Consider the following 27299-nt stretch of genomic DNA (forward strand, 5'->3'; position numbering starts at 1 on the left):
ACTTGATTTAAAGAAACATATTACATAAGAGATAATACTGGGGACCCCCAGGTGAAGCATAGAGTGAAAGTGGGTGCTCTAATGACTGGATTTTATTTCCCTTAATATATATATATGTTTTTGAATGACAGGCTTTTGGGAAATGCTGGTTCATGCTATTTTGGAATGGGAGATACTAGAGCCTAGAATAGGTAGATGAAAAGTCAAAATTTTATGGAACAAGAAATCTAGTTCCTGCTTCCCAGATCACGGTTATACCCTTTTAAATCCATATGATGCCTTCATGCGAATTAGGAAAAAGGATCTTAACCCCAAGACACTTCATCTAAAGAAAAACTGCCATAATACACAGATTATTTTAGGTCAGCTCACTTTACTGCCATCTGCTGGGAAGTTGTAATAATACAAATATCCATACACGATGGCTAGGATGTTATCAGCACCTCCTTTAATGTGTTGTCCTTGAGCAGTGTACAACCTGCTCAGCTGTACATGATAACCCTGACAGTCCCCCCCACCGCACCCCACCATCTCCCAATCTCACCTTGAGCTTTGGCAGCCGCTTGATGGTTTTAAGAGGTCGTAGCACCCGGAGGACTCGGAGGGATTTAATCGTGTTGATGTCTTTTCCTTTGCTATTGCCACTGTGGAGGAATGTTTAGGTGGGAAGAAGGGAAGAGAGGAAGCAGAGGTCAGGTTGGGTAGGGGGCAGCCCACAGCTCCATGGGACCCTACCCTCCCAGGCCTAGAAGTCTGGGGTGAGCTTGGCACAGCCCTGCCCTTCCTGGTGAAGAGTGGTCCATTTCACCTGTTAAGCTTGGGCTCGGGAGCCAGTAAGTACGTGGCTTTTTGTGGTTCTGGTCCCAGGGTTGGTTGAGGGCCCTTTGCCATCTGGCTGGGCCTGAGCAGCTGTATTGGGTGTCCCTGAGACCCAGCACAAGGGGGTTGGCTGATTCCCCACCCCCATTTCTGCACAGCTTTTCTTTTTTCTTTTTTGAGACAGGGTCTGGCTCTGTCACCAAGGCTGGAGTGCAGTGGCACGATCTCGGCTCACTGCAACCTCCGCCTCCTGGGCTAAAGCCATCCTCCCACCTCAGCCTCCCAAGTAGCTGGGACTACAGGCACACGCCACTGCGCCTGGCTAATTGTTTTGTCTTTTTGTAGAGATGAGGTTTCACCATGTTGCCCAGGCTGGTTTCAAACTCCTGAGCTCAAGCAATCTGCCCTCCTCACCCTCTCAAAGTGCTGGGATTACAGGTGTGAGCCACTACACCTGGTCACAGCTATTTTCAAAAAAGCCCTTGGTCTAGGAGTTTAGTGGTCCCCTATGTATTCTTTTTTTTTTTTGAGATGGAGTTTCACTCTTGTTGCCCAGGCTGGAGTGCAATGGTATGATCTTGGCTCACTGCAACCTCCACCTCCCAGGTTCAAGTGATTCTCTTGCCTCAGCCTCTCCAAGTAGCTGGGACTACAGGTGCGTGCCACCATGCCCAGCTAACTTTTGTATTTTTAGTAGAGATGGGGCTTCACCATGTTGGCCAGGCTGGTCTTGAACTCCTGACCTCAGGTGATCCACCCACCTTGGCCTCCCAAAGTGTTGGGATTACAGGTGTGAGCCACTGCGCCTGGCCCCCTGTGTATTCTTTTTAAAGGTGGTATCAGTGGGCTCTTAAAAAAATGGGATTTTCTCCCCCTTCCAATGGGATTCTGGAAGATACTTAAAGTGGCCCTTATACCAAATCTCCCCTCCCCCACCATATTCCCTGAGTCTGAAGGAGGGAAAATAACCGGGTGCCGCTGTTTTCAGATGCTGATGTGGCTGCTGCCATGGTCTCTGCTGCATTGCTCCAAGGGTCTCTGAGCCCATCTTTGCCAGAGAGGACTGCACAGAAGTTCAGTCCAAGGTCTGTTGGAACTGAGCTTAGCAATGCAGACCCCAGAGATGCCATGACACCCTTGGCCAACCATGACTCAGGCCCCCCAAGAGGAGGGTATTGAGTGGGACCATGAATAGCTTGTGGTTCATGGCACTCATGACCCATCCAGTTGTCCACACCAGAAACCTGAGAGTCATGGTCAACTGCCTGCCCTCTATCCCCATCCCCATCCCCAGTGGGTCACCTTCCTTAACATCCCGCCATCCATTCCTGGGTGCCATCCCCCCTCACCCGTCTCCCAACTTGCTCCTCATTCCCTGCCTTTTCTTCCATGTTTTATGCACACAGTGGCTAAAGCCAATGACCTTGTCACTCTTTCTCTTGCTCAGAATTCTTCTGGAGCACGTGAATTCTCAGAAGAGCAAGTGCAAACTTCTGGGCATGGCATTCAATGCTCTTGAAAATCTAGTCCAACTTACCTTCACCTTTGCATTCCCATTTATGGCTACATATCTCAAGCCCCAGCCACATTCTTTTGCCTCTGTCTGCTTATGCATATACTGTTCCCGCTGCTAGAAATGCCCTTCCTCCACTTCTCCAGTCACAGAACTACCCGGTCCTCAAAGCCCAAATTACCTGTTGCTCCCTCCGACAGCATTTCCTGACTGCCTACCTCTGGCTCCTGCCAGCTCCTATGTGCTATTTCGGAGTTAATCTTTGTTTGTTTCTTCGGTCTCTGGTTTTAGACAGAAAACTCTTCAAAGGCTTACAGTGTAATCTACTCTTCTCTGTGTTCATTTTCCCTTTAATCTTTTTTTTTTTTTTTGAGATGGAGTCTTGCTCTATTGCCCAGGCTGGAGTGCAGTGGCATGATCTTGGCTTACTGCAACCTCTGCCTCCTGGGTTCAAGTGATTCTCCCACCTCAGCCTCCCGAATAGCTGGGACTACAGGCATGAGTCACCACACCTGGCTAATTTTTGTATTTTCAGTAGAGACAGGGTTTCACCGTGTTGGCCAGGCTGGTCTCGAACTCCCGACCTCAAGTAATCCACTGGCCTTGACTCCCAAAGTGCTGGGATTACAGGCATGAGCCACCGCACCTGGCCATTTCCCCTTTAATCTTGATTCTTGTCCTAGCCCCTAGCCTGCGCCTGGCGTGTGGTCTCAGGACACGTGAATGCCTCCGGTTGGAGTATTTGGGTGGGGAGGTCACCTAGAAAACATCTCCCTACAGTGACCTCCCAGGTCATGAGCAGAGCTGCCCCAGAGACCCCCATCACGATGGGTCTCAGTATCCAGTGCAAAAACATCATTCTTCACACCATTTGCTTTTTAAAGGACTCCATTTTTTTCATTTTTCAGGGAACAAAGACGATAATTGTATTTTAGCCTGCTAGGCAGAGATATACTCCAGGATTCAGAACTCTGAACCTTTTTTTTTCTTTTTAAAACTAACATCATCATTATCATCTCAAGGCTGTGCCCCCAAGTGTGAGACACACGTTGGACAGTCACTGAGATAATTTTAGGCAGAACAGGGGCACAGATTAAATAATTGGATCTCAGAGGGGCATAATCATTTCTTTTTCTTTCTTTCTTTTTTATTATACTTTAAGTTTCTTTTCCACGTATCTTTCAGACGCTCTGCTTTTGCGAGAAAGGAAGCCTCAGGTAGATGCTAATAGGCCTTTAACACCTCCCTAACACTTAGTAATTTTCCTTTTAACAAAGAGCCCAGCTTGAAGGCAACAACATTGTCTGGTTTCTGTTAGATTTACTTTTTTTTTTTTTTTTTGAGATGGCATTTCTCTCTTGTTACCCAGGCTGGAGTGAATGGCGTGATCTCAGCTCACAGCAGTCTCTGCCTCCCGGGTTCAAGAAATTCTTTTGCCTCAGCCTCCCGAGTAGCTGGGATTACAGGCATGTGCCATCACGTCCGGCTAATTTTGTATTTTTAGTAGAGACGGGGTTTCTCCATGTTGGTCAGGCTGGTCTCGAACTCCCGACCTCAAGTGATCCACCTGCCTCGGCCTCCCAAAGTGCTGGGATTATAGGTGTGAGCCACCATGTCTGGCCTACATTTACTTTTGCAGTTGCAGATTTATCTTAGGTTAGCAATGCTGGTTGTAAGTGGATAATATAGTTTCCTTTTTTTTTATTTAAATTAAAGAGATGGAATCTCAGGGGGGAGTGCAGTGGCACGATCATAGCTCACCGCAGCCTCCAACTCCTGGGCTCAAGTGATCCTTCAGTCTCAGCCTCCCAAATGGCTGGGACTGCAGGCATGCACCACTGCACCTGGCTAAAGTTTCCTTTTGAAATTGAACTTTAGAATACATGTTGATAGAAAAAAAGTCAAGGAACTGTACATCCAGGTTGCACATGGAACTGGCTAAAATCTTGATGTCCCAAACAAGTGACAATTGGGAGCATGTCTCCATGGGCATTCTGCATCTCCTCATCTGAAAACGATTCCATGGCCATTTTATTTTTTTATTGTTCAATTTATTTTATATATTTTTTTGAGACAGAGTCTCACTCTGTCACCCAGGGTGGAGTGCAGTGGTGCAATCTCAGCTCACTGCAACCTCCACCTCCCAGGTTTAAGTGATTCTCCTGCCTCAGCTTCCTATGTAGCTGGGATTACAGGTGTGCACCACCAAGCCCAGATAATTTTTTGCATTTTTAGTAGAGATGGGGTTTCACCATGTTGACCAGGCTGGTCTGAAACTCCTGACCTCAAGTGATCTACCCGCCTCGGCCTCCCAAAATGCTGGGATTAGAGGCGTGAGCCACCGTGTCTGGCCCACTTTCATTGCTTCTGATAACTGCTCCACCCAGCTTGCCTATTGAAACTGAACCTCTGCCCCTTCTGTTCTCTGCAAGAACTGGTGGGGCATGGGCGGAGGCATTGGCAAGACCCTTTGGGATGCCTCCTTCGCAGGGAGTGAGTTCTGGTCATTTGAAGCGACAGGACAGCGGCAGCAAGGACACAAGGCCACAGAAACAGGCCCAGAACTAACGAGGCTGCACCAGGGGACAGATCACGAGAGACAGAATATGAGAGAGAGAGAGAGAGAAAGAGAGAGAGAGAGAAAGATAGAGAGAGACTTTACCGTGTACTGCTCCTGGTGATGTGGCATCGGAGGGAGAGACAGATCGTAAGTGGCCTCAGAAAAAAGAACACAGAACACGCACGTACACACACGCACCCCTGAGCACCCCCGAGTCCCGCCCGGGCAGCAGTTGGGGGAGCCTCAGGCTCATGGCGCTGGCCGATGTCCATCCTTCCATCTGGAAGCCGCCCCCACCTCCATTCAGTCCCCCGCCCTTGGCAGGCACCTGGCACTGCCCAAGAAAGCACTAAGAAAGCCAAATTTCCAGGTAGCAGGACAGCTGCAAAGCTGTCAGTTACCAAAGGTGAATTCACCACGGAAAGTCACTGCCAAGAGCCGGAGAAACCCCTCTTCTCCAGGCGTTGTGGAGCTGCAAGGTTTTAGAATGTCTAAAAGGTTGTGAGCTTTGAAGTTGAGGGGACCTGGGTTTGAATCCTGACTCTGCCTCTCGTTATCCTCATCTGCAAAACAGGCCCAGACTGGGTGCCGTGGCTCACAGCTATAATCCCAGCACCTTGGGAGGACGAGTTGGGAAGATTGCTTGAGGCCAGAAGTTCGAGACCAGCCTGGACAACATAGGGAGACCCTGTCTCTCTCCTTCTCTCCTTTTTTTTTGAGGCAGGGTCTCCCTCTGTTGCCCAGGCTGCAGTGCAGTAGCGGGATCTTGGCTCACTGTAGCCTCAACCTCCAGGGCTCAGGTGATTCTCCCACCTTAGCCTCCCAAGTAGCTGGAAATACAGGCAAATTTTTCCATTTTTTGTAGAGACGGGGGTCTCATTATGTTGCTCAGGCTGGTCTCAAACTCCTGGGCTCAAGTGATCCTCCTGCCTAGGCCTCCCAGAGCGCTGGGATTACAAGTGTGAGCCACTGCATCCTGGGCAAGACTCTGTCTCTTAAAACAAACAACCAACCAACTCAGGTCTGTGGAATTCTGATGTTTGATTAACAAAAGCTATGGCCTTGGCTTTGCTCTTTATGAAGGAGGGGGTCAGCAAAGAGTTCTGACTTGGGATGGAATTAGAAGCAACTCTGAAGCCCTCTGAGCAAATGCGGGCCTGGGGAAAGCTATCAGCACCTAGCAGCTGGTCCTCTCGTGATTCATTGGAATCAGGCTTGGGGCTCATTAGGCGCCTTCAACAATGACTGGAGATCCAGGTTAGAAAGACTTGACCGCCATCAGAATGGCGGAAACCCTGTCGCCAAGCGGACTCTATGGAATTTTCCATCCACGACCCCTCTGGAAGTTAGTGATTTTTTTTTTTTTTTTTGAAACGGAGTCTCGCTCTGTCGCCCAGGCTGGAGTGCAGTGGCAAGATCTCGGCTCACTGCAAGCTCCGCCTCCCAGGTTCACGCCATTCTCCTTCCTCAGCCTCCCGAGTGCTGGGACTACAGGCGCCCACCACCACGCCCAGCTAATTTTTTTTGTATTTTTAGTAGAGATGGGGTTTCACCGTGTTAGCCAGGATGGTCTCCATCTCTTGACCTCGTGATCCGCCCACCTTGGCCTCCCAAAGTGCTAGGATTACAGGTGTGAGCCACCGCGCCCGGCTGTGATATTTTTTAAAACACAGAATGGTTTAAATGTCTACAAATATTCCAAGTGGATTCTCCTCCACACCCCCTCATCTCCTTTTCCTGTAGTCTGACTTGGGGTTCTCAAATTCAGTGTATCTAGGAATTATTGCATACGTAGAATCATATAGATTCTACTTTTTTTTTTTTTTTTTTTTTTTTTGATGGATTCTCACTCTGTTGCCAGGCTGCCTCAGCCTTCCAAAGTGCTGGGATTACAGGCGTAAGCCACCGCACCCGGCTTTATTTTATATTTTTAGAGACGTGGTCTTGCTCTGTCGCCCAGGCTGGAGTGCAGTAGCACAATCATAGCTTACCGCAGCCTTGAACTCCCTGGCTCAAGTGATTCTCCCACCTCAGCCTCCCAAGTAGCTGGGACTACAGGTGAGAGACACCACACCCAGCTTCTTTACGGATGATTGAGGGAGTTTTCAATGACAGTGATTTTTGCCTAATCTGCTGACTTTAGGTTTAATATGGGAGTCTTCTGGACATCACTGCATTTGCCTATGGGAAGACAGCACCATTATGACCATTTTCCAGATGAGGAAGCTGAGGCCTAGAGAAAAAGAGTGACCTGCCCAAGGGCAGGCACACAGCTGGGAAGACAGACTAAGATTCAAACCCAGGTGTGGGTATCTCGCACTCTAATCTTCTTTCCATTTCATCATACACAAGAAAAATAATGCCTTCAGGGGTGGGGGCTGTTTTGAAGATGAGGATCAAGAGATAGCAGCCTGAGGGCTCCATCTTTGGCTTCCTGACAGTTTGGCTCCTGGGTATGCAGGAGCAGCTTGATCAAGGCGCTCTGCCAGTTGCGGTCCTGCCTTTGGGGGAAGAACAGCCGCGCCAGATGGACTCTTGGCGGTGAGGGCAGGATCATGATCTGCCAGCTGCTGAGAAATGTCAGTTGGCCGCCCTGATGCATGGGCACAGAGCGTGATACCACGTGTGATGGCTCATGAAATGGGGTGTTTATGGTAGACGCATGGATACAAGGGACACAGTCAGTGAATTGAGCAGGACACACACACACAGATATTTGGGTGAGGTGCAGGAGGGGTGGACATCTTCAGAAGAGCTTCAATACATCCCTTGGTGGGACCACAGGGATAGTTTTCTCCCATATCGGAGACGAGGCCACAATCACAGCACTGGGGGAAGAATCCTTGCTTTGACCCCAACAGGCCAGAATGGCAAGGTTCCTTTCAACAAGGAAGGGAATAACCTTATGCTCCCTTCCCCTATTCCCTTCCCCTGGATCTCGCAGCCCTGCCAGGCCTCAAAGAACCCAGGCTGGCCAGGCTGCTGAGCATCATTCTGCTCACTGTGAGCCTCCGTATTCAGGGCTGGGAGATGGGTAGCATCTGACAGCTGAACCCAACCTCAGTGATCTTGTCGGACTTACTTCCCTCCACAGTCCCTCTGGGCCGCAGTTTCCTCATCTAGATGGGAAAAACTGAGGCACAGAGAGGCTAAAGGACTTGCACATCTAGAGAGAAATCAAACAGACCTGGAGGGACAATTTCTTAAAACAATAAGGTCAATCTAATACTTGTGGGGCTCTCAGCCTTGTCTATGAGGGGATATGCACAGAGGACAGACAAAGCAAGTTAAAAGACCAGAAAGGAAATAAGCAGAGGACCCTGGGGTGGGGGGTGGGGGGCGGGTGGAGAGTTCAGCGCTCAGGCTGAGAACCTCAGAGCATCCATGCTCCTTCCAATGTGCCAACTATCCGATAACAAGGAAAGACAATAAGCAAAGTCCTCATAGGGTGAGAGACCTTCTCAGGCAAAAGAGGCCAGAAACCTGTAACGGGGAGAAGATTCCAAAACTTTTTAGGGAAAAAAGCAGTAGCTCCTATTCTGGTTTTCTAGCAGTTTGGCTCTTAGGTGTGCAGGAATGGCTTGATCAAGGCACCTGGCCAGCTGTGCTGGGCCTGCAGCCCTGCCCTGGGGGAGGAACAGCAGTACCAGATGGACTCTTGACAGTGGGGTGGGGAGGGTGTGGTAGGCGTGAGGTTTGAGGGTCTCCTCTCTCATCCCTTCGGCCATGATATAAAGATGCTCCCTGTTGGACTCATGTCCGTCGGCTCTTCCAAAACCCTGGGAGAGTCCCAGGCACTTGCCAGGATCCTACTGGCAAAATCTCACACCTCCCAGTTCCTGCATGATCTACAAGCCTGCCAGGGTTGACAGGATGGCCTGAAATCCCTATCCAGATCCTTTTCTTGCATAAGAATTAAAACAACAACATTCAAAATGGATTTTCAAGAGTGAAGGGTGGCTTTATGCCTGTACCAATTTCATGAGAACAATGTAAAAGCTTGACTCTGCAAACAGGCTGCCAAATTCCTGTGAGTTGTAGGCCAATTTGAATGCCCTTGTATAACTTGATATTTAAAAAGAAAACTCAGAAATTAAAAAAAAAGTCAACTCCCCAAAAGAATCATTCTGCTGTTTTTTTTTTTTTTTTTTTTTTTTGAGATGGAGTCTTGCTCCGTCACCCAGGCTGGAGTGCAGTGGCACAATCTTGGCTCACTGCAACCTTCACCTCCTGGGTTCAAGCAATTCTCCTGCCTCACCCTCCCGAGTAGCTGGGACTACAGGCCCTCCCCACCACACCCAGCTAGTTTTTGTATTTTTAGTAGAGATGGGGTTTCACCATGTTGGCCATGCTGGTCTTGGACCCCTGACCTCAAGTGATCCACCTGCCTCGGCCTCCCCAAGTGCTGGGATTACAGGTGTGAGCCATCGCACCCAGCTCATTCTGCTAATTGATCTCTGGTGGAAAAGAATTTTTGGTTCGCTTTTGCAGATTAGCTTTGTTTAAAAGAGGAGGCTAATTTTACCTCCAGAGAACCTAGAAACAGCATGTTGTAAACGATGGCCCATAATGGCAAAAGCTCAACAATTGAAAGGCTTGCTTCTGGGTCCTTTGTAGGTCATTCCCCTCCCTAAATTGTGATGGTCAACTCGGAGGATGGAGGTGGGACAGTCACCTCCTCAGCATTTTTTTTTTTTTTTGAGACAGAGTCTTGCTCTGTTGCCCAGGCTGGAGTGCAGTGGTGCAATCTTGGCTCACTGCAACCTCCACTTCCCAGGTTCAAGCAATTCTTCTGCCTCAGCCTCCCGAGTAGCTGAGATTACAGGCGCCTGCTATCACGCTTGGCTAATATTTGTATTTTTAGTAGAGACAGGGTTTTACCATGTTGCCTGGGGTTTCACCATGTTGCCCAGGCTGGTCTTGAACTCCTGACCCCAGGTGATCCATCTGCCTTGGCCTCCGAAAGAGCTAGGATTACAGGCATGAGCCACTGTGCCCGGCCCTCCTCAGCATTACAGTATGTCAGCTACAACAGAGGTCTGAGAGGAAAGTGACATTGGAGACCTGAACAGCTTGGGCTTGGTACCATTTATCTGTGCCACACTCAGTGGTGGTCACTGGGAGGATTCACAGGATAAAACCCATTCCCCTGGGCACAGGTGGCCAAGGTAAGCATTGTGTGTGGACAGGTGGATATGAGTGACATATTCACCCCACTGCCTGCCCTAGTGCCCTGAGCTACCTGCCACCTCTTGAGCCCTAGGAATCTTGGAGGCTGCTGAGCAGACCTTGCCCCAGAGGAAAGGGGCGGGGGTCCCTGCCTGAGCATGTCCTCCTGTGTCCTGGGATCTGCCTTTGTCTGAATACCATTCCTCATCAGAATGCAGGGTAGGGGGGCCAAGTCCCTGTTGCCAGACCGATGACAGAGGGTCAGCTTTCTCCAAGCTACACGGTCCAGGGGAGGCCCACATCACCCAAGGACATAGGTCATCAACAGTGCAGGGAGTGAGAGAGAAAGAGAGGGAGAGAGAGAGAGAAAGAGGAAAATAAAAAGATAGAAACTGAGAGGGGGTAAAAGGAGAAAGACGAACAGAAAGAGACAGAGAGAGGGAAGAAGAGAGAGGGAAGAGAGGGGAAAGGAGGAAGAGAAAGAGGGAGAAAGAAAAGGAGGGGAGAGGGAGGGAAGGGGCTGAAAGGCAGAGAGGGGTGGAGAAACCCGTAGGTTATTTCCATAGGAGAAGGATTCATTCCAGGCTGAGGGTGGTAAAACATTCTGGCTTTTCAGGATTTAAATTTTCTCATAGCATGATGTCTACCTGACAACTTGAAGGACCTGCTTAAATAGGTGATAGAGGGGGAGAAAAGTATATTTTATTATAATACATTCCTTTTTTTATTTTTGAGACAAAATCTTGCTTTCTCACCCAGGCTGGAGTGCAGTGGCATGATCTCGGCTCACTGCAGTCTCCATCTCCTGGGTCCAAGCAATTCTCCTGCCTTACCCACCTGAGTAGCTGGGATTACAGGCATCCGCCACCATGCCTGGCTAATTTTTGTATTTTTTAGTAGAGACAGGGTTTTGTCATGTCGGCCAGGCTGGTCTCGAACTGCTGACCTCAGGTGATCCCCCTCCCTTGGCCTCCCAAAATGCTAGGGTTACAGGCGTGAGCCACTGTGCCCAGCCTATTATAATACATTCTTATATATGCTGTTTATTAGCTAAAAAAATCATTTTTTGTGTGTGTGTGGGGGTGCGGCGGGAACAGTGCTAACTTGATAGGGAATGAATTGTATCTCGTTTTTATTTTACATTTCTCTGAATTCCAAGGGTTGATTTACCTCCATTTTTACTAGTTGCCAGCATTCTATCAGATTTCTGTTTATGTCCTTTGCCCATTTATCCATTGAGAAGTAGTGTTTCTTATTGATTTGTAACTGCTTTTCATATTTTAAAGACATGGACTCCTTGTCTTATTCGTCACAATCTTTGTCCCCTAATTTGATGTGCATTGTATTTTGTTTAATTAATTATTTATTTATTTACTTTTTAACCTACAGAACAGCTTGCTAAACCTGTTTTTTTTGTACTCATCACTATTAAAATTATTCAGTAACCATATAAAGCATAATATTCTAAATAGCAAATTCATTGATTTTTAATTTTTTAAACTTTTTATTTTTTTGAGACAAGTTCTTCCTGTGTTCCCCAGACTGGGGTGCAGTGGTGCGATTTCGGCTCACTGCAGCCTTGAACCTCCTGGGCTCAAGCAATTCTCCCACCTCAGCCTCCCGTGTAGCTGCTAGTGCAGGCATACTACCATGCCTGGCTAATTGTTTTTTTTTTTTTTTAGAGATGGGGTCTCCCTATGTTACCCAGGCTGGTCTTGGCCTCCTGGGCTCAAGCAATCTGCCTGTCTCAGCCTCCCAAAGTGCTGGGATTGCAGGTGTAAGCCACCGTGCATTGCTCTAGTAGTCAAATAGACACTGAAAAGCTTTGAGGAGAGGGAAGGATGTGGGGAGGGAGAGGAGAAGAGAAAAAGAAAAGAGTAAACGAACAAAAAGAGAGGAGAAAGAGGAGGAAGGAGTGAAAGAGAAAGAGAAAGAAGTATAATCAGCCTCCCAACCTTCATGATACATCTCCAGCTCTGAGGCATCCAAAAACTCTGGAGATTTTTTGTTCTAACACAACTTGACCTCATTGTGTTCCCAGAGAAGAATCTAAGTGTGGCCTACTTAACAGCCCTTCTACTGGAAATGGGCCACTATTTTGGCCCTCCTGACAAACCAAGTCCTCATTGTTTGGTGAGGGAGACCATTCAAGGGCCCCTCCAGATTGGCTCAGGAGGGAGCCTAGAGGCAGAGGCACAGGAGGAAGCCCCTGATTCTCTCACGATGGGAGTGAATGTGTCAAGATCCTTTCAAAACCTGTCAGGGAATCATTCACCATGATGGGCACAGCCAGGGTCCCCAAGATTTGTTTCTTGATTAAAGACTGATTAGATATTTTTCATCCCGCTCCAAATGTCTACAACTTCAGGAATGTACTGCTAAGTCTGCTATCAGGGCCCTAAGGGCTAATGGCCACTCACCTGTTGGGTACCATCTTGAAATAGTCACCCAGAACTTGGGGGCCATTTTGAAATGGTTGCCCTAGAACTTGGGTGCCATTTTGGAATGGTTACCCAGAACTAGGGTGCCACCTTGAGATGGCTGCCCAGAACTTGGGGGTCACCTTCGAGTAGCCATCCAAGACTTGGGGACCGTCTTGGAATGGCTACCCAGAACTTGAAGGCCACCTTGGAACTCAGGGACCATGTAAGAATGGCCACCAAGAATCCAGAGGCCATCTTAGCATGGTAGCCCAGAAATCAGAGGCCATCTTGGAATAGCCACCCAGAACTTGGATGCCACCTTGGAATGGTTGCCCAGAACTTGGGGGCCACCCTGGAACTCAGGGGCCATCTTGCAATGGCTGCCTAGAACTTGGGGCCATCTTGGAATAGCCACCCAGAGCTTGGGGACCATCCTGGAATGGCTACCCAGAACTTGAAGGTCACCTTGGAACTCAGGGACCATCTAAGAATGACCACCCCAAATTCAGAGGCCATCTTGGAATGATAGCTCAGAACTCAGGGGCCATCTTGGAATGGCCACCCAGAACTTGGATGCCATCTTGGGATGACTACTAAGAGCTTGGGTGCCATCCTGAAATGGCTGCCTACAACTGGGGCGCCATCTTGGAGCTGCAGGATGACACATGGCCTTTCAGAGGGCAGAGAATCCTAGGACTGCCAGGAGAAGTGAAAGACACACAAAGGGAGTCACCAGGTCTACAACTACGGGGCCTTCAGGCATAGGGAGGGGGTCAGAATTCTCATGCACATTCGTTTCCTGATTGTCTCTTTAGGGACTTTCCAAAGAGACAGCGGTTTGGGCGGCGCTTGTGGAGTAGTAGGGGGATGAGATGTTCCGGCGAGGCTAGTCTACAGGAAGCTGCACAGCAAGGGGCCAGTGATGTGGCTGAGGCCCGTTGCTGTGTGAGGAGGTAGAAGGTTGGCAGGAGGGGGGGTCCCTTCTCCTTCTTCCTCCATGGACATCATGCAAAAAGCCATCGAAGCTCTTCCTGGTGGCATGCTGATATCTCCCACGTCCCCGGAGCCCACACACCCCATCCCTAGACCCTGAGAACATGTCCTGTAATCCGATGTGTGGCCCAGGCTGGGGGTTGGGGGAAAAGAGGCAAGAGGAACCCTTGCGAGGAGACTTACGTGAAGGCAAAGGCTACCAGGGCCCCACTGACCACTATGAAGTCGAGAATATTCCAGAGGTCACGGAAGTAGGCACCCTGATGCAGGACGAGCCCCAGGTCAATCATCTGTGGGGGAGAAGAGAGGGTGCTCAGAACCCCCACCTGATCCCCACCCTGGGGTGCTGCCACCCACTCTCTAGCCTCTCGGGGAGAGGCAGGGAAGCCAATGAGGCCACCTCATCTTGCAGGGATGGGCAGTGGCCAGAGGACTCCAGGGAGGAGTGGGGAGCCCCTGCCCCATGAGGCGGCCCCCCTTTGCCTGATGGAAGCCAGCTCTGGCTTGCCGGCTCTTAGATCCAAACTTTGGGATCCTCTTTGATGCCTCTTTGTCCCAAATCCCTCATTGGTGGCTCTATCAGCAAAACTCACTGGCTCTATTTCCAGAACCTTCCAAGAATCTGTCCACTTCTCACCTCTTCTTTGGTCACCAGCCTGATCCTGTCCCCGTCATCGCCCATGGGGACCAGTGTGATCACCTGCTCACAGGTCCTCTGGCTTCCCACAGATGCCAAAGGGCACCTGTGAACACCTGGATCAAGTCCCTCCTCTGCTCAGAACACTCTATGGCCCTCACCTCACTCAAAGTAAGAGCCGAAGAGCCCTCTCTGTGATCCCCGGCACAAGGTGCCCCCTCACCTCCCCACTCATCTCTCTGTCCTTCGTTTCCCCACTGTTCTCTCACTCCGCCCAGCCACACCAGCTTCCTTGCTGCTCTTCAAACACACCAGGCATTTCTAATCCTCTGGGAGACTCATCCTCTCAAGGGGGGCATTCTTGGAGGCTCAGGATCTCCTGGAATCCCAGCTCTTTTTTTTTTTTTTTTTTTTGACAGAGTCTCGCTGTGTCACCCAGGCTGGAATGCAGTGGCAAGATCTCGGCTCACTGCAGCCTCCACATCGGCTCATTGCAGCCTAGGGTTCAAGTGATTCTCCTGCCTCAGCCTCCCGAGTAGCTGGGATTACAGACATGTGCCACCATGCCCGGCTAATTTTTGTATTTTTAGTAGAGATGGGGTTTCACCATGTTGGCCAGGCTGGCCTCAACCTCCTGATCTCAAGTGATCTGCCTGCCTCAGCCTCCCAAAGTGCTGGGATTACAGGCATGATCCACTGTGCCCAGCCCTGCACTTGCTTAAAAAAAAAAATTACCGTGTGTTCTCACTTATAATCTGCACTCACCTTGATCACCATCTCAAAGGTAAAGACGCCTGTAAAAACGTAGTCAAAGTATCGCAGCACCTGTAAGGGATAAAAGCAAGAGAGCAGTGGATCACTGGCCTGTTCCAGCAGAGCCCCGGTAAAACTAACGATCGCCTACTGGGGAGCAGAGTTTCTACCCAGAAGAGGAAACACAGCTGCTATATACAGTTGCGCAGGGCGTGCACTGCACAAGGGCCCCTCCCATCTCTTTTCATACTGCAGATTTGTATGTTGTGAATGAAATTGTCCAGCAGATGGCAGCAAATCCTAACAAAAAAATCACTGTACTAGGCCAGTTCGCTAACCCACGGGAAGGGTACCTTTTAAAATTTGCCCCAAGCCCTGTAGTGGATTAGAAGCGGCCCCAGAGAAGTTCAGGGCTGACTGTATCCTTCTTGGTGATGGATCTAATCCCCCAGTACCCTTGCTTTCCTGGGCATCCTGGGCGAGAAATAGTTGCTACGTGGTTTTTTTAAACACTGGGGCCAACTTCCTGCCACGGCATCTCTTCCTGCTTCAAGGCCAGGCCCCTGCCAGGGTAGGTTGATTTTTCCTGTGCCCCTCCCCAGGCCTGATGTTTCTGCCTGGACGAGCAATGTCCTCTGGCCCAGCCCCTGTCCAGGACACACCATAGCACACCTCTGGTGTCACCCAGGCCTGAAGATGAGGGTGCGCCGGCACAGTGTCTGGCTGGTGCTAGACATGGGGTGGACACCGGCTGGGCACGGTGGCTCGAGCCTGTAATCCCAGCACTTTGGGAGGCTGAGGCAGGCAGATCACTTGAGGTCAGGAGTTCGAGACCAGCCTAACCAAATGGCAAAACCCCGTGTCTACTAAAAATATAAAAAATTAGCTGGGCATGGTGGCGTGTGCCTGTAATTCCAGCTACTTGGGAGGCCAAGGCGTGACAGTCACTTGAACGTGGGAGGCGGAGGTTGCAGTGAGCCGAGATCGTGCCACTGCACTCCAGCCTGGGAGACAGAGACTGTCTAAAAAAAAAAAAAAAAAAAAAATCAGATCCACCCAGAAGCTGCAAGGGCTGAGCATTACTGAACATGGCCACCAGAGGGCGCTGTGAACACCAAAGAAGTCAGGCACATCCTTCCCCTGCTTACAATCCTCCGTGGCTCCCACCTCATTCAGGGATAAAAGTCAAAGTCCTCCCCGAGGCCCTCAAGCCCCTGCACGATCTGACCATTCAGCTCCCTGCCCTCACTTCCTCTCATTCTCTCCCTTGCTCACTTCCTTTTGTTCCCCAAGATGCTTCCACCTCAGGGCCTTTGCACAGGCTGTTCTGTCTCTCTGGAATGCTTTCCCCCACATCCCATTTGATTCCGTCTTTCTCCTCCTTTATGACTTAGCTCAAATAACACTTTCCCAGTGAGGACTCCCCTGACCGGCTGTTTAAATTCCATCTCCTGGTGCTTGAGATCCTCTTTACGAAGTCTCTCCTTCCCTCTGCCCACCACACCCCCGGCCACTTATCACTCCCTGAACATTTGTTGTAGTTACTGATAATCTCATTGTCCATCTCCCCCACCCAAATGTCAGCCCCACAAGGACAGGGATGTCTGTCTGTCACCATGGCGTCTCCAGCTTATAATACAGGGTCAGGAATACAGTAGGTGCTCAAGAAATGTTTGTTGAATGAATGCATCAACAGTTGGGGCTGTACTGGGTCCTGGAGGAGCTGGGCTCTGTGATCTGTGTGGTTATAACTTATATTCCTGTTATATGTGGTGCTTGAAGAGGAATCAGAGACCAGAGTGCCTGGGGTCAGGGTGAGGTGACTTCCTGGAGGGAGGGGCTGGTGCAAGGGGATTGGCTTGAAAGACCTGGGTGGGCAGAGGGGATGGTGGTGGGAGAGTATTTCAGGTGCACGAGGCAGTGGGCACAGCCTGGTCAAAGGCCTGGTGGTTTGTGGGCTCTGGGAGTGCAGGGACCATCTCATACCCTGTCAATCCTCCCTGGCTCGCTCAGTACCTGGCACATAGTAGTTGCTTATCAAATACTTACTAAAGGAATGAATGGAAGGAAAGAAGGAAGAGAGGGAGCTGGGAAAGGGCAGGCCGTGGGGGTCAGGTGAATCTAATTCTGGAGCTCTTAATAAGCTGTGCAAGAGGAAATCAAAAGACCAATAAATTAGGTTCAAGTATTCCTAATACTTAGATCTTTTTCATCTATTTGAAAATGTTATTTCCTGTGGCTCAGTCTAATCCAAAAAAGTGCTTGATCTCATTCATTACAGGGAAATGCCAAGCACAACCCCAATAAGATCTCACTCCACACCCAGCAGATCGGCCAAATGAAACAGTCGACAGTACCAAGTGTTGACAAGGATGTGGAAGAACAGGAGTTCCCATGAGCTACTGGTGCAAGGGCCACTGCGTTCATTTATTTTTTAATTTTTTTTTGAGATGGTGTCTCACTCTGTCACCCAGGCTGGAGTGCAGTGGCACAATCTTGGCTCACTGGAACCTCTGCCTCCCGGGTTCAAGCAATTCTTCTGCCTCAGCCTCCAAGTGTCTGGGATTACAGGCGCATGCTACCACGCCCGGCTAATTTTTGTATTTTTAGTAGAGACCAGGTTTTACCATATTGGCCAGTCTGGTCTCGAACTCCTGACCTCACGTGATCTACCCACCTTGGCCTCCCAAAGTGCTGGGATTACAGGTGCGAGCCCGGCCCACTGTGCCCGGCCCACTGTGTTTATTTTTATTTATTTATATATATTTTGGAGACAGGGTCTCGCTCTGTCGCCAAGGCTAGAGTGCAGTGACGCCATCTTGGCTCACTGCAACCTCCACCTCCTGGGTTCAAGTGATTCTTGTGCTTCAGCCTCCCGAGTAGCTGGGATTACAGTTGTGTGTTACCACGCCCAGATAATTTTTGTATTTTTGGTAGAGACGGGGTTTCACCATGTTGGCCAGGCTGGTCTCAAACTCCTGACCTCAGGTGATCCACCCGCCTTGGCCTCCCAAAGGGTCACTGTGTTTATTGTCCAATAAACATTCAAGCTGCATTTACTGAGGCCAACCACTTGCAAATTATATGCTCTAGAAACTTCGCTTTTGGTTTATACCCTGGAGGAATTCTTATTTATTGAGACAGGGTCTCGCTCTGTCACCCAGGTTGGAGTGCAGTGGTATGAACATGGATCACTACAGCCTTGACCTTCCAGACCCAAGTGATCCTCCCACCTCAGCCTCCCAAGTGGCTGGGACCACAGGTGTGCACCACCACGCTCGGTTAATTAAAAAAAAAAAAATTTTTTTTTTTTTTGGTAGAGGTGGGGGTCTCACTATGTTGCCCAAGCTGGTCTTGAACTCCTGGCCTCAAGCATTGCTCCCACCTTGGCCTCTCGAAGTGCTGGGATTATAGGCGTGAGCCACTGCATCTGGCCTCCTGGAGAAATTACTGTCCAGGTGACTCAGGAAACATGTTGAGGGGCGTGGCATGGGGACAGTATTCACACTTAGAAACAACCCAAACATCTGTCAACAGGGGATGGATAACACATCCCATGCCACACAGTAAATCTCAAAACAGCATCATAAAGAATGCTCATTGACCGGGCGTGGTGGCTCACGCCTGTAATCCCAGCACTTTGGGAGGCCAAGGCGGGCGGATCACTTGAGGTCAGGAGTTTGAGACCAGTCTGGCTGATAGTGTGAAACCCCGTCTCTACTAAAAATACAAAAATTAGCCGGGTGTGGTGGCGCCTGCCTGTAGTCCCAGCTACTCTGGAGGCTGAGGCAGGAGAATCGCTTAAACCCGGGAGGCGGAGGTTGCAGTGAGCCAAGATTGCACCACTGCACTCCAGCCTGGGTGACAGAGCAAGACTCCATCTCAAAAAAAAAAAAAAAAAAAAGAATGCCCATCAATCCTGCAAAAGCAACATGTACTCATTTAATGCGAAGCATAGAAGTGTCTCATTTATTGAATGTTACAGAAGAGCAAACATAAATTCAGTTTTTAAGAATTGGCCAGTGTTGGCCAATTACAGGCATGTAAGAATTGGAATTACATGCCTGTAATTCCAGAGCTCTGGGAATCTGAGGAGGGAGGATTGCTTGAGGTCAAGAGTTCGAGACCAGCCTGGCAACATAGCGAGGCCCGTTTCTACAAGCATTTAAAAATTAGCTGGGTGTGGTGGTGCATGCCTGTGGTCCTAGCTACCTGGGGGGCTGAGGTGGGAGGATCACTTGAGCCCGGGACGTTGAGGCTGCAGTGAGCCATGATCACGTTACTGCACCCCAACCTGGGCGACAGAGAGAGACATTGTCTCTTAAAAAAAAAAAAAAAAAAAGCCTGTGCAGGTGGGAAAAAGAGAGAAGCCAAAAACGCTCATTCCAGAAGCTGGGGTCGTGGTTACCGGTAAGGCAGGGTTTCTCAAGCTGGGCTCTGTGGACATTTGGGTCTGGATCATCCTCTAGAGTGGGGGCTGTCCTGGGCATCGGCGGGTGCTGAGCAACATCCCTGGCCTCCACCCACCAGATGCCAGGAGCACCTCCCCCCTCCTGTCGTGACAACCAAAAATGTCTCCAGACAGTGTCCCCAGCAGCTCTAGAGGGAAAGAAGGCGGTGGGGGTGGGGGATCGAGGAGGCACATGCCGCGTGGGGCGTTTTTGTTCTATTTCTTGCCCTGGATGGTGGTTACGTGGTGTGAACGTTATGGGGCCACAGTGTTCTTGTAGAGAAGTTTCGACTGCGAGATGGACGAGGGAGGGGGCCGGGGAGCTGAACGCTCTTTGCAAACAGTCCCTGGGGCCTGGTCTGAGCACTGCCTAGATTCCCTTCAGCCCTGGGAGCTGCCGTGCCCCCTGGATCATCCATGCCTGTGCCCTCCCTGCCGAAGGCAACGCCTTCTTCAGCATCCTCGCGTCAGCAGGGGGTTTGTGGACCCCTCCAGGGACACCTCCTCCCCACGCCTGGCTCCTGGAGGCCCCTGGGGGAAACCAGGCTGCGGGAAGCAACTAAGCGGACTGTGAGGAGGCTGAGCACTGGCTCTAGCTTCCTCCAGGAGCTGCGTTCTAATTATTTCCTTCCATCTCCCCCATCAGGTCCCCAGGGGGGCCTGCCAGGCCTGGGAAGGAAGGGAAAGTGCATGGTAAGCTGTGGGCGGGCTTGAGGGATGGGGCTCGCCAGCTTTGCCTGGGTCCTAACCTACTTAGCCAGGGCAGCAGAGCCTTGGACCAGCAGAAAACACACTTTTTTGGCTCTGGGTTGGGAGGGAAGGGTTGGGGGAGGGAGCTGGGGAGGGAAACAGGAGCCACCAGTCCACCCTCTACCAGGCCCTGGGGTCAAGCCTCTGCCCGCAGCCCATGACTGAGGCACGCCCTTGCCTGTTGGTGCCTCGGTTTCCCCATCTCAACCACAAGCATGCACTCATTCCTGCTTGTCAGGACTCAAAGGGGCTATGCACACCCATCCGTAGCATACAGTAGGTGATTAGTAAATGCAGACAGTTGGGGGAAGCAGTGGGAGCTTTGGGGGATGCAGAGTTGGAATTCTGCTGTGTGACCCTGGACAGGCCACTTACCACTCTCTCATTCCCCTGAGCCTCAGTTTTCCCATCTGTCAAATGGGGATGCCTGGGCGGGGGGTTGGGGGGGCGCATTGTGAGGATTAAATGAGATACTGCATGCTGAGTTTCTTCCTGGGACACAGCAAGTGCTCAATTAACAGGGGTTGTCAACAGACCCACCATCCGCAAAGGGGCTTGCTTTCATAAAAACCAAAAGCTTAGGCTGTGTTTCTGAGCCAAATAGTTGTTTCTTTCAAAGCTTCGTGTACAAAGGGAAATGTCTACTGCGGAGGGGACCACCTCTGAGCACCGCCCCTGCCCCAGTAACCCCCCTATTCCATGTAGAGAATGTGCAACATCCATATCCTGCTAGTCTCACGCCTCCATTAGAGAATCCAGCAATTTTCAGCCCCAGTCACTCTGGGCCACCTCCACCCCACCAGGCTCACAGAGAAACTGCCTCAAGGAATGTCTTGCTCCCAAGAGCATCCCCAAGGAATCAGAGCTTCCCCTCTCAACCAGCAGCCATAAGGGCTATGCCTAGGGGTGACCCCAACATCCCACCCTACCTATGAGCATTTTGGATGCAGGAGAAAGTGGCCTGAGGCAGAGCAGCCAGGCTAGGAAGGGGTGTGCTCTGTGGGACTCACGTTGTTCCGAGGTGCGTTGGGCTGCACAGGGTCCTCGGCGGCCAGGGCGATGCTGCTCATGGCAATGACCATGAGGATGCACATCTCAAAGTAGCGCAGGTTCAGGATGTAATGGCACAGGCGGCGAAGGCTGTTGGAGACAGATGGGCGTGCAGAGGTCCACTCAGACCACAGGCTCACAAACCCTTTTCTTCCATAATCTCATGTTACCTACCACTACTGAGATCTCCAACCCCCAAGGCCTCCTACACAACAAACTATTAAACTCCTCCAGGTGGGGGCCCTCTCTGGGTCCTGGAACCCCAAGAAGGCAGAGGGGACCTCGGTGAGAGAAGACATTCACATGCCCTGTTTAGCAAAGTTCCTATCACTCCCAAACGACCCTCTTGAAGTATCTTGATCCCCAAGCTAGGTTGAAGAAATACGGTCCTTAATTCTGTAGGAGATAAAAAGGCTTTTCGATATTAAATGTCCCAGGGCCAAACAATATTGTGAATCTATGGGTTAAGTAGATTTCTTTCTTTCTTTTTAAAAATTAGCTGTGTGACCTTGGGCAAGTTACTTGTCCCCTCTGTGCCTTGGTGCCCTCATCTGTAAAATAGCCGTAATACTAGTGCTTACTTCACAAAATCATGAGACCCAAGACTTAATTTATGCCTGGCTCATGATAGGGGCTCCAAAAAGTTAGTTATTGAAATTATGAATTGCAGGCCTTATCAGAGCCTTGAATGTGCCAATGGGATGTGCCAGTTAACCTCTTAATAAGTGGAGCCAATAATAAATAGTTCATAAGGTTGTGTGAATGGCAGCAGAGCTGAGTGGTTAAGAACAAGGAGGCTAGAGCCAGTGTCTGGGCTCAAACTCCAGCTCTCCCACTGGCTTGCTGTGTGACCTTGGGCAGGTGAATTCACGTCTCTGGACCTCAGTTTTTTCATCTGTCAAATGGAGCTAAGCATAGTAACAACCTCAGAGAAATTAAAAAAAATTTTAAGGCACTCAGAACAGTGCCTGGCACTGAGTAGATACCACATAAGTGTTTCCTTAGTAAAATCGATAAGTCAACTAAATAAAAAAGTACTTTAAAGGTACTTTTATTTATTACTACCCAGGGTGAGTTGCCAAGAGGCAGATTATAGAAAGCAGCTTCTCCCCCATCTTATCTGACATGATCCTTCATTGTCAAGAAGCATTTTGAGCGGTCAGGCTTTCAAGAAATATCCCTGGGAGACATTCAATTCTAAAACAACCTCCGAGCCACTACGACATTCATGGGATAAATTTCTCCCCTAAATAGTCTATCCATTTCAAAGATGCCCAAGACAGAAGGCCATGGAACTCAGACACTATCCGCCCAGAATCTAAACCCTTACAGAGTCTAGGTTAGAAACAGAGTTCAGGTCCTAGGGCTGCCACGTGCAGTTGTTCAGGCTGTGTACTGCACAAGGCAGCCATTTCTAAGGGGGTGCCTCTTACATCACAGTGAAGATTTGTTTATTTATGACAAATTTATTTGTTGTTTAGGACAAATTTATTTGTTTATTTATGACAAATTTGTTTATTTATTGTCATAAATAACAATGATTTTCTAGTGGATGGCAGGACAGGGGTCTCTTCCAACAAAGTATATTGTGACAAATCATCTTACCTGACTTACGGAAGGAGCATCCATTTTCAACTTGTTCAAAGGTATCCCTGGACTCATGGTGGTCAACACTCACTCATTGCCCTCTATCTGGCCTGACTTCCGCCACCCTGGTGGGAGCCCCAGGCCCCCCCTGCCCTTGCTGGGGGCCATACTCACGGGTTGGTCGTGGACAGGATGAACATGGAGCTATAGGGAGGCATTGGCTTAGGGCCGTCTTCCCCACGGTCGTCTTCCTCCTCCTCCTTCTTCTCTTCCTCTTTTTTTGGCAGTGGGTCTGGGTTGGCGTTTTTGTTCACTGTTGGGACAAGAACCAACACAGGGCTCCCTCCACAATTTCCCACAAGTCTCTGGGAACTCCTGTGTACTCCCAGGGCAGGCAAGAAGCGGCTGACATTTCTAAAGTGCCTGCTGTATATACCAGGCATCTTATGACATCACTGAACCCTTGTATAGCCCTGAGGTTGATATATTCTGATCTCCTGTTTACAGATGAGGAAATTGAGGCACAGAGAAGTAAAGTGACTTGTCTAAGGTCACACAGCAGGAAGTGGCAGAGCTGGCATTTGGAACCCAGGCGGCCTGGCCCCCGAGAGCCTGCTCTCAACCACTCTATAGCCTTGAGTGCGGTGGGGCCCTCATGGGATATTAACACAGACCTGCCCCTATCCTCGTTGGACCTTCACACCCTCACTTGCAGGCAGGTAGGGAGAGTGCCAAGAGACCCACTGAACAGATAGAAATACTGAGACCTCCCATAAACTGCATGGCATGCCCCCATTAGCACCCCTCTCTTGACTCAGGGGGAGGAGCCATCAGCCTCTGGAGCTTCCATTCTGCAGCCCAGCCTGCTTATGTGCCCACGGGCAGGCTGAGCCTCTCTGAGCCTCAGTCCCTACATCTATAAAATGGGCACAGTGACAAGACCTTAGGATCTTAGGTCTCAGGACCATGGAAAGCCTTTATCCAGCAAACTCATGAAAATCTCTCACATAGAACTGACACTAGATGAACTTAAGACATAATCCACCCAGCAGTTCACCATTTTTTTTTTTTTTTTTTTTTTTTGAGACAGTCTCGCTTTGTCACCCAGGCTGCAGTACAGAGGTGCCATCTTGGCTCACTCTACCTCGGCCTCCTGAAGTACTGGGATTACAGGCATGAGCCAGTACATCTGGCCCCTTTTTTAATGTGGCGACTAGAGAGTTTAAACTGACATTTGCATGTGGCCTGTGTTACATTTCTTTTGGACAGTGCTGGGCCGAGAGAATCAATCATCTGACCCCCTCAAGCTTCCATCAGAGGACCCTATTGCTCCTCAAATGGGGTGGCTTCCTGGCTCCCCTTGGGAAGGAAGGACGTAGAAGATATTGCTAACCCGACTGAACACAACCCCGTGCCAGGCACTGTGCACAAATTATCTCACTGAACCCTCCACAGCCCTGTGGGGTAGGAAACTACGCCTATGCCCATTTTCCAGGGGAGGAGACTGAGGCCAGAGAGATGGGGTCACAGTCCAGGGTCACTCAGCAGAGCCTCTGGCTCCAGGGACGCCAGGTCCCCTGCCCAGTGATGTGAGAGCAGAGGGTCTCACCTTGTACGACGGTGTGGTTGAGGGGGGGTGGGCAGGCTGGGGGGATGTCCACTGTGGTGTGGTCGGGTTTCCTGGCAGTCTTAGCTGAATTGGTCTGGGTGCCGCTGGGGTTGGTGACGATAAGGCTATTCTCGGGGGTCTTGGGGGGGCCGGGATTGGATGGGTTCCCCGGGTTGTTGGGCGTCCGGCGGCTGGCGGCGTTCTGGGGGTTGGTGGCCATGGCAGGGATGGCCAGCATGGGGCCGGGGTCGGTGCTGTTTCCCATCTTGGCTGGGCTCTGGGGCAGGCCGGCGTGGCCAAGGCTGCCGTGGGGAGCGGCCGACTCCGCGGTGGCCAGCTTGTTGTTCTTCATGTTGTCAATATCCTCTGCCAGGGGTGGGTCTTGGCGGCCCAGGTCCTGCTGGATTGGCCGGGTGGTTGACAGGTTGGGGCCCGACACAGGGACCCCGGAGCCCTGGTTCTCTCTGAGGAAGGCAAGTGAATGAAAAAGAACCAACAACTGATTTAGGATAAAAGGCAACAGTTCAGGATCCTAGCTAAGATTCCATCTTTCAAGAGTACAATTTGGGCTGGGCGCAGTGGCTCACGCCTGTAATCCCAGCACTTTGGGAAGCGGAGGCAGGAGGATTGCTTAAGGCCAGGAGTTCAAGACCAGCTTGGGCAACATAGTGAGACCCTATTTCTACAAAAAATGTGTAAATTGACGGGCGTGGCGCTGTGTGCCTGTAGTTCTAGCTACTTGGGAGGCCGAAGTGGGAGGATTGCTTGAGCCTGGGAGGTTGAGGCTGCAGTGAGCCGTGATCGCCCCACTGCACTCCAGTCTGGGTGACAGAGTGAGACCCTGTCACCAAAAAAACAAAAAAGAAAAGGAAAGGGTACAGTTTGGTCATGGAGAAGTCATGTCCCAGATCCCTGCAGTGCCTGGAATTGAGAGGAGCCTGTTCACTTCTTGGTCAGAGGTCAAGACCTTCACGTGCCCATGGACAGGTTTCCACAACTCCCCATCATCTTATTTCTTTTCTTTCTTTCTTTCTTTTTTCTTGCTCTGTCGTACAGTGGCGTGATCTCGGCTCACTGCAACCTCTGGCTCCCAGGTTCAAGCGATTCTCTTGCCTCAGCCTCCTGAGTAGCTGGGATTACAGGTGCCCACCACTACGACCGGCTAATTTTTTGTATTTCAGTAGAGATGGGGTTTCACCATTTTGGCCAGGCTGGTCTCGAATTCCTGACCTCAAGTGATCCACCCACCTCAGCCTCCCAAAGTGCTGAGATTACAGGTGTGAGCCACTGCACCTGGCCTCTTTTTTTTTTTTTTTTTCAGACAGGGTCTTACTCTGTTGCCCAGGCTGGAGAGCAGTGGCAGGATCATAGCTTACTGCAGCCTTGAACTTCTGGGCTCCAGTGATCCTCCCATCTCAGCCTCCAGGTAGCTGAGGCTACAGGCTCACGCCACCATGTCTGGCTAATTTTACAATTTTTTGTAGAGACTGGCGTCTCACTATGTTGCCCAGGGTGGTCTCAAACTCCTGGCCTCAAGTGATTCTTCCTCCTCGGCCTCCTAAAATGTTGGGATTACAGGCGTAAACCACAATGCCCAGCTTGTTTTTAACTTTCTTATTCTTAGCTGAGTTTTCACTGCCTAGTACAGGGCCTCTCACACAGTCAATGCTGGGTAAACTTACTGTCAAATGATAAATGAATACCCCCATTTTCTTTTTCTTTCTTTCTTTTTCTTTTTTCTTTTTTTTTTTAACTGAGACAGAGCCTCACTCTGTTGCCCAGGCTGGAGTGCAGTGGCAGGATCTTGGCTCACTGCAACCTCTGCCTCGTGGATTCAAGTGATCCTCGTGCCTCAGCCTCCCGAATAGCTGGGATTACCAGCGTGCACCACAATACCCAGCTAGTTTTTCTATTTTCAGTAGAGACAGGGCTTCGCCATGTTGCCCAGGCTGCTTGAACTCGTGGCCTACAGTGATCCACCCACCTCAGCCTCCCAAAGTGCTGGGATTATAGGCCTCCCTAAGTGCTGGATATATAGAGCCACCGTGCCTGGCCAGAATGTCCCCATTATCCAGATGAGGATACTGAGGCCCCAGGAGAGATCCCACAGCCTCAAACCTCCCATCAACCCCTGCCTCTCCAAGCCATGGACACCTGGGCCCTGCCTCTTGCCATCTACAGGTGGACAAAGACTCACTTAGTAGCCCATCTGATGCCTTCTGGACTACAGACCCCTGGACAACACAGCCCTGGTTTCCCATAAATCTATCTAGAAAGAATAAATAAATAAATAAGTAATAAATAAAAGGCTGGCTTTCCCCAGAGGGCTTCCCACTGGCTAAACTACCAGCACCATTCTCCTCATTTTATTTTTGCATTTTAACTTGCAAAAACCCACGGTGTTTTTAGTAAGTGGAAGAGAGACAAGCTAATTTATTTTCAGACCAAAGTAGGTAAGTGGGATGCTTCTATGAATACTTCCCGGAAGGAGAAACCGAGGCAGTTCCACTGTTTCTCTGAGACTGCACAGGGGAAATAGACAGGTCCAAGCAACTTTCTGCCTTCTCAGTTTTGTGAGTGGGTCATAGAGGGACATTTCAGAAGACAGGCTGACCTGGGTTTGAATCTCGGCAATGTCTTTTTTTTTTTTTTTTTTTGAGACAGGGTCTCACTCTGTCGCCCAGGTTGTAGTGCAGTGGCGCGATCTCAGCTCACTGTAATCGCCACCTCCCAGGCTCAGGCAATCCTCCCACCTCAGCCTTCCCAGTAGCTGGGACTTCAGGTGCCTGCCACCACGCCTGGCTAACTTTTTAATTTTTCTTTTTGTAGAGATGAGGTCTCACTATATTGCCCAGGCTGGTCTCAAACTCCTGGGATCAAGCGACCCTCTTGCCTCAGCCTCCCAAAATGCTGGGATTATAGGCATGAGCCACTACACACAGGGAAATCTCAGCAACATCACTAGCTGTGCAACCCTGTGTGATTT

The 27299-nt window shown here is 50.1% G+C and overlaps 1 protein-coding gene across 5 annotated transcripts in view, besides 7 other annotated features; it reads right to left on the reverse strand.

The window, feature by feature from the left end:
* The window catches only part of CACNA1A (calcium voltage-gated channel subunit alpha1 A), a 300038-nt gene that overhangs the window by 55748 nt on the left and 216991 nt on the right, over positions 1-27299 (reverse strand). For all 5 annotated transcript variants that reach the window (NM_001127222.2, NM_001127221.2, NM_001174080.2 and 2 more), the window contains exons 20-25: positions 24314-24777; positions 22879-23017; positions 21078-21207; positions 14880-14939; positions 13661-13767; positions 545-644 (exon numbers count right to left, since the gene is read on the reverse strand). In NM_001127222.2, coding sequence (NP_001120694.1) covers positions 545-644; positions 13661-13767; positions 14880-14939; positions 21078-21207; positions 22879-23017; positions 24314-24777 — 1000 coding nt within the window. The remainder of the gene's footprint in view (positions 1-544; positions 645-13660; positions 13768-14879; positions 14940-21077; positions 21208-22878; positions 23018-24313; positions 24778-27299) is intronic.
* Positions 5926-6220: an enhancer, noted in NCBI's record as "tiled region #13658; K562 Activating DNase matched - State 20:ReprD". NCBI's record gives its function as "activates a minimal TATA promoter and a strong SV40 promoter by Sharpr-MPRA in K562 cells {active_cell/tissue: K562}" and the evidence as "EXISTENCE:reporter gene assay evidence [ECO:0000049][PMID:27701403]".
* Positions 12815-14014: an enhancer, noted in NCBI's record as "CDK7 strongly-dependent group 2 enhancer chr19:13385818-13387017 (GRCh37/hg19 assembly coordinates)". NCBI's record gives its function as "activates an origin of replication core promoter dependent on BRD2, BRD4, P300/CBP, MED14 and CDK7 cofactors, with strong dependence on CDK7, by STARR-seq in HCT116 cells {active_cell/tissue: HCT116}" and the evidence as "EXISTENCE:reporter gene assay evidence [ECO:0000049][PMID:35650434]".
* Positions 13115-13194: an enhancer, noted in NCBI's record as "active region_14129". NCBI's record gives its function as "activates an Ori minimal core promoter by ATAC-STARR-seq in GM12878 lymphoblastoid cells {active_cell/tissue: GM12878}" and the evidence as "EXISTENCE:reporter gene assay evidence [ECO:0000049][PMID:35858748]".
* Positions 13215-13284: an enhancer, noted in NCBI's record as "active region_14130". NCBI's record gives its function as "activates an Ori minimal core promoter by ATAC-STARR-seq in GM12878 lymphoblastoid cells {active_cell/tissue: GM12878}" and the evidence as "EXISTENCE:reporter gene assay evidence [ECO:0000049][PMID:35858748]".
* Positions 13305-13354: an enhancer, noted in NCBI's record as "active region_14131". NCBI's record gives its function as "activates an Ori minimal core promoter by ATAC-STARR-seq in GM12878 lymphoblastoid cells {active_cell/tissue: GM12878}" and the evidence as "EXISTENCE:reporter gene assay evidence [ECO:0000049][PMID:35858748]".
* Positions 15073-15132: a silencer, noted in NCBI's record as "silent region_10205". NCBI's record gives its function as "represses an Ori minimal core promoter by ATAC-STARR-seq in GM12878 lymphoblastoid cells {active_cell/tissue: GM12878}" and the evidence as "EXISTENCE:reporter gene assay evidence [ECO:0000049][PMID:35858748]".
* Positions 15453-15622: an enhancer, noted in NCBI's record as "active region_14132". NCBI's record gives its function as "activates an Ori minimal core promoter by ATAC-STARR-seq in GM12878 lymphoblastoid cells {active_cell/tissue: GM12878}" and the evidence as "EXISTENCE:reporter gene assay evidence [ECO:0000049][PMID:35858748]".

Source organism: Homo sapiens, chromosome 19 (assembly GCF_000001405.40).
Source record: "Homo sapiens chromosome 19, GRCh38.p14 Primary Assembly".
NCBI lineage: Eukaryota > Metazoa > Chordata > Mammalia > Primates > Hominidae > Homo > Homo sapiens.